The sequence below is a fragment of the Homo sapiens genome, chromosome 7 (genome assembly GCF_000001405.40).
Source record: "Homo sapiens chromosome 7, GRCh38.p14 Primary Assembly".
Classification (NCBI taxonomy): Eukaryota; Metazoa; Chordata; class Mammalia; order Primates; family Hominidae; genus Homo; species Homo sapiens.
Genome location: NC_000007.14, coordinates 120,163,285 through 120,169,171, shown reverse-complemented (window position 1 = coordinate 120,169,171; position 5,887 = coordinate 120,163,285). Strand labels below are relative to the sequence as shown.

The 5,887-nt window shown below is 37.9% G+C and overlaps 1 annotated feature.

Annotated features, from left to right (window-relative positions):
* Positions 1,054-1,673: an enhancer, noted in NCBI's record as "NANOG-H3K27ac hESC enhancer chr7:119807553-119808172 (GRCh37/hg19 assembly coordinates)". NCBI's record gives its function as "activates a minimal SCP1, AML or CMV promoter by ChIP-STARR-seq in naive H9 embryonic stem cells {active_cell/tissue: H9 hESC(naive)}" and the evidence as "EXISTENCE:reporter gene assay evidence [ECO:0000049][PMID:30033119]".

Genomic DNA, 5,887 nt, shown 5'->3' with positions numbered 1-5,887 from the left:
TGTACACAGTGAGAGGGTGCCATCTATGAACCAAGAAGGCGGCCCTCAGCAGACTCCAAATTTGCCAGTGCCTTGATTGTCGACTTCTCAACCTCCAGAATTCTGAGAAATAAATTTCTGCTGTTTATAATCCACCCAGATTATGGTATTTAGCTATAGCAACCTTACTGAACTGAGACAATAACTCTAAAAATATTACCTTTATTTTCTAGACCATTAGTTTCTACAACCTGATTGTACAAAAAAAAATTTACCAAGGTTAGTTCTTAATAATGGTGTCTGGATCACAACATTCCTGAAACAGAATCTCTAGGGGTCTATTTTCTAAGAAGATTCCTAGATGATACTTACATAACTATTTTTTTTTTGGTTTTGTTTTGTTTTATAAAAAGGGACAAGGTATCACTGGCTAAGAATTTTATACTTAAAAGCATTTAATTACACTTCAGGATTTATTTATTACAGGTAAAGAGCTTGGAAATAATTACACCATCCTTACAACAGTAAAAGCTGGAAAAGCTGAAAACCAGTAATTTCTGGGTCCTATCAGAGAACTGAAGTTACAGAACCCCAAATCTGTAGAGAGAGGTGCATACAGAGAGATAGCAATGAAGAATGGCTTACTTGGAATAGGAGGCCCTGGGGCTATAAACTTGTTATTTAAAGAGTAATTTTGATGAATTGTCGAGTCTGGACTATTGATGAACTGTCGAGTGTGAGAGTGAGAAAGACCTCAGAACCACAGCATGGGCACTGCAAGATTTTCGGGGATATTACCTCCAAGAATACCACTGGTTTCTCACAGTGAAGATCCAATGATGATCTCATGGCTCTGTTAGGGAGAGAAGAGTAATCATTGTGCAATATTCCCAGAAACTTGATCATAATAAAGGCAAGTTTCCCAAGGGAAAAGACTTTGACAGAACACAGTTCTAAATCTAATACTAGTTTTATTTCAACTAAGAAGGAAGAAAGATAAAACAGCATTCTGGAACTCTGTGTCTGGAAAAAGAAGTAGACAGCAGAAAAAAATAAAAAGTTAAACCATTGGAAAAACACTTGTGAAAGTCACAGCTCTGGAAAGCAGGCCGGGAACAGCTTGGTCGGGGAGACCCTAAACCAGTGGCACTGGAGGAATTACAGACACACATACAGAAATACAGAGGTGTGAAGTGCGAAATCAGGGGTCTCACAGCCTTCAGAGCTGACAGCCCCTAACAGAGATTTACCCACATGTTTATTAACAGCAAACCAGTCATTAGCACTGTTTCTATAGATATTAAATTAACTAAAAGTATCCCTTATGGGAAACAAAGGGATGGGCCGAATTAAATGAATAGGTTGGGCTAGTTAACCGCAGGAGGAACATGTCCTTAAGGCATAAATCGATCATGCTATTGTTTGTGGCTTAAGAATGCCTTTAAGCGGTTTTCCGCCCTGGGAGGGCCAGGTGTTCCTTGCCCTCATTCCCGTAAACCCACAAGCTTCCAGCTTGGGCGTTAGGGCCGTTATGAACACGTCACAGTGTTGCAGAGATTTTGTTTATGGCCAGTCTTGGGGCCAGTTTATGGCCGGATTTTGGGGGGCTTGCTCCCAACACAGGCCACTAAAATAATCAGATTTAATTAGAAGATTAGAGAATGTTCACCCTCTACAAACATTACTAACATAACAGAGTGAAAAACGAAGAAAGAAAATAAAGTAGAAAAGAATATACAAGACCTTTGTGATGATTTCAAAAGTGTAAAAATGTGTAATTAGAATGACAGAAGATAAATTGAAAGGAACTGAAGAAATATTTGAAATTATAACAACTGAGACAGAGACCAAAACACAGATTCAAGAAACTAGACAAATCCAAACAGAATAACTACTGAGAAAAAACAAGCTGCAGCTACACATTTTATATTTAAGCTGCAGAAAACCAAAGATAAAGAGAAATCTTGAAACAATCCAGAAGGAAAAAAGGTCACCTTACCTACTGATGAACAAATATAAGAATTACAGTAGATGACTCATTAGAAACCATGGAAGAAAGAATAGAGTGGTGAAAAATACTTAAATATACTTTAATGTAAATATATTTAGAGTATTTTAAAAAATTTACATCCATTAAAATTATTCTTCAAATGTAAAAAAAGACATAATTTTTTTTCATGTATTGAGTGTTCATTTTCAACCAGATCTTCCCTGCAAAAAAATTTAGTAGATATTCTATAGGCAGAAAGAAAAGAATGTAAGCCACAAACTTGGATCAAGCAGAGAGAAAGAATAGTAAGAAAAAATAAAAGATCAATTATATTTATTGATCTTAAAAGTAACTGCTTTCTTAAAGTAATAATATTAACAAAGTTTTGGGAATTATACAGATAAGTAAAATGAATAACATTGATATAGTTTGGATCTTTGTCCCCTCCAACTCTCATGTTGAAATGTTATTTCCACTGCTGGAAGTGGAGCCTGATGGAAGGTGTTTGGCTCATGGGGGCAGGTCTCTTATGAATGACTTGGTACCCTCTTCATGGCAATGAGTGAACTGTTATTCTGTGAGTTCATGAAAGATTTGGTTGATTAAAAGTGAGTGGCACCTCCTCACCTCTCTCTTGATCTCTTTCTCACCATGTGAAGCACCTGCACCCCCTTTACTTTCTACCATGAGTGGAAGCTTCCTGAGGTCCTCTCAAAGGCAGATGCTGTTGCCATGCTTCTTGTATAGCCCATAGAACTATGAACTAGTTAAACTTCTTTTCTTTGTTAATTACCCAGTCTCAGGTATTCCTTTTTGGCAATGGAACAGACTAATACAAACAGCAATGTCAGAAGGAACAAGAGGGAACAATTGAGAATTCTCTATTACAGTATATCTGTGCTACATTTAAAATGATATATGATTTGAAGATAGATTTAGAATGTGTGTCAAAACTCTACAGCAACAAATAATTTTTGAAAGGCAAAATAGCTGATGTGCTTAGAGAGATCTTATAAAATGCTAAATTAAAAAAAAAACAACAGAAAAGGCAGATAAGGAGAAAGAAAAGGGAAAAAAGAAACAAATGTGACCAATAGACAACAAATACTGTATGTATTAATCCAACTATAATAATTACTCTAAATGTTAGTGGTCTAAATACACCAATTAAAAGACAGATTACTAGAGTTGATAAAAAATCAAGATCCAACATGTATTTCCTGAAACTAACTCACTTTAGATTCAGGGACACAGATATATGGGTAACAAAGGGATAGAGAAAGATACACCACATAATACTAGTCAAAATAAAGCTAGTTCAGCTATATTTTATTCAGTCAAAGCAGACTTATGAACAAGAAAGATTACTGAGCATTTCATAATGATAAATTGTTTAATCACTTAAGATGAACATTTTAAATGTGTATGAACCAAATAAAAGAGCATCAAGGCACATGAAGAAAAACTGATAGAATTACAAGGAAAATACGTGTTTACTATTTCAGTTGGAGGCATTGATAACACTTATTCAGTAATTGATGGATCAAGCAGAAAGAAAATCAGTAGTATACAGTTGACCTTAACAGCACTATAGATACATTTGATATAATTGACATGTATAGACCGCTCCATCCAACAAACCTTCCAGTGCCCTGATTTTGCAGGAGTTCCCAATCTGCAAAACTGTGAGAAATAAATTTTTCTATTGTTCATAAACTATGCACTCTGTGATACTTTGTTATAGCAGCCCAAATAGACCAAGACAGGAATTGGTACCAGATGTGGGGCGTTACTAAAACAAATACCTAAAAAATGTGGAAGTGGCTTCAGAACTGGGTAATGTGTAGAGGCTGGAAGAGTTTGGGGATGCATGCTCAAAAAAACTGCATTCTGATAAGGGCTCAGAAGAAAATGAGAGCTATAGACAGAGTCTTAATCTTCTTAGAGATGACTTAAGTGGTCATGATCTGATGTTGGTAGAAATAACAGTAAAGGTCATTCTTACGAGGTTTCGGATGGAAATGAGGCACATCTTATTGGAAACCAGAAGAAAGGCCATCTTTGTTATAAAGTAACAAAGAACTTGGCTGCATTGTGTCTATGACCTACTTCCTGCCTTGCGGAAGGCAGAACTTGTGAGTGACAAACTAAGATATTTTGCAGAAGTATATAAAAAAGTGTTGAAGGTGATGCATGGCTTCTCCCCTTGAAATAAAACCTTTCTTCTACTTGAAATAAAACCAAGAAATAAACAAATTAAAGATGAAATTTATAATCAAGAGGAAAGCAGAACTAAAATATTTGGAAAATTCTCAGCCTGGCCATGTAAAGTATAAAAATCCTAATTCTGGTAAAAAAAAAAAAAAAAAAAAAAAAGAAAAATGCCAAGGGTGTGGATAAGTGAACAATTTGATAGGGAGATTATTATGATAGAAGAAAGCTAGATATTATTCATCAGAACAATGGAAGAATGACCCTGAAGGCATTTTAGAAATATTTGAGGCTGCCACTACCATCATGGGCCCAGAATGCCAGGGCCTTGATAGGAGAGGTTTCAGGGGAGGGGCCTAGGGCACACTTTGGATGTCGAGGCTTGCAGCCCAGCTCGGCTCCAAGTTTCTGCCCTTCACATTTCAGCACTGTGCTCCTTGGCCACCTCAGCTGTAGCTCAAATGCACCCAGCTGCAGCTCAGACCACCACACCAGAGGTACAATCTTTAATCCTTGCAGCATCCACATAGTGCTAACTCTGAAGGTGCACAGAGCATCCAAGCTGTGGAGGCATGGTTGCCTCCCCCTCGATTTTAAAGGATGCATAGGAGAGCCTTGGTGTCTAGGCAAAGAACCACCACACGGGTTGGGCCACTGTAGAGAGAATCTTCACTAAGACAATGCTGAATAGAACTGTGGGGTTGAGGCAACCCCCAAAACCCCAGGACGGTAGAGCCACCAGTGTGCAATGCCAGACTGGGAGAGCCATAGGCACTGGACTCCAACTTGTTAGCTGCTGTGTGAGTTGCATGCAGCAAAGCCATGGACACGGGGCTTCCCAGGGCTTTGAGGCCCCAACTCTGTTCAGAAAGCAGGACATCAAGTCAAAGAAGATTTTCAATCCTCAAGATTTAATGTCTACTTTGTTGTGTGTTGAACTTACTTGTGGCCTGTTACCCATTTCTTTTTGCTTATTTCTCCCTTTTGGAACAGAAATGTCTATCCTATGCCTGGGCCACCATTGTATTTTGGAAACAATAACTTGTTTGATTGTACACATTCGTAGCTGGAGAGAAATTTGCTTAGTATAAATTGTACCTTTAGTCTCACCCATATCTGATTTAGATGAGATGCTGGGCTTAGACTGTTGAGTTCATGCTGGAACAAATGAAGACTTTGGGGGTTATTGGGATGGAATAAATATGTTTTGTATGTGAGAAGGATACAAATTTTGGGGAGCCAAAGGAGAAATGCTATGGTTTTATTGTTTGTGTCCTCTTCGAAACTGAAACCCCAATGCAGCATTACTGAAGAAGTGAGGCCTTGCAGGCAATTGAGCCGTGGATGTTCTGCCTACAGGAATGGAATTAGCAACCTTATAAAAAGGCTGAATGGAAACTAGCTAGGCTCTTCTTGCCCTTCTGCTTTCCACCATGTGAGGACACTGCCTTTAAGGCACCATCTTAAAGCGGAGTGCAGCTCTCACCACACACTGAACCTGCTGGTGCCTTGATCTTGGACTTCTCAGCTTCTAGAACCGCAAGATATAAATTTCTGTTATTTATCATGTAGGGCAGTTTAATGTTTTCCCTGAATATTTGATCATTTGAGTTTACAAAAGAAACAGAACAGATTAACAGGTAAAAGGCATACACAGTTATTAATGTGCATACACATGAATGGAAGCCATACAAAATAAGAAAACGC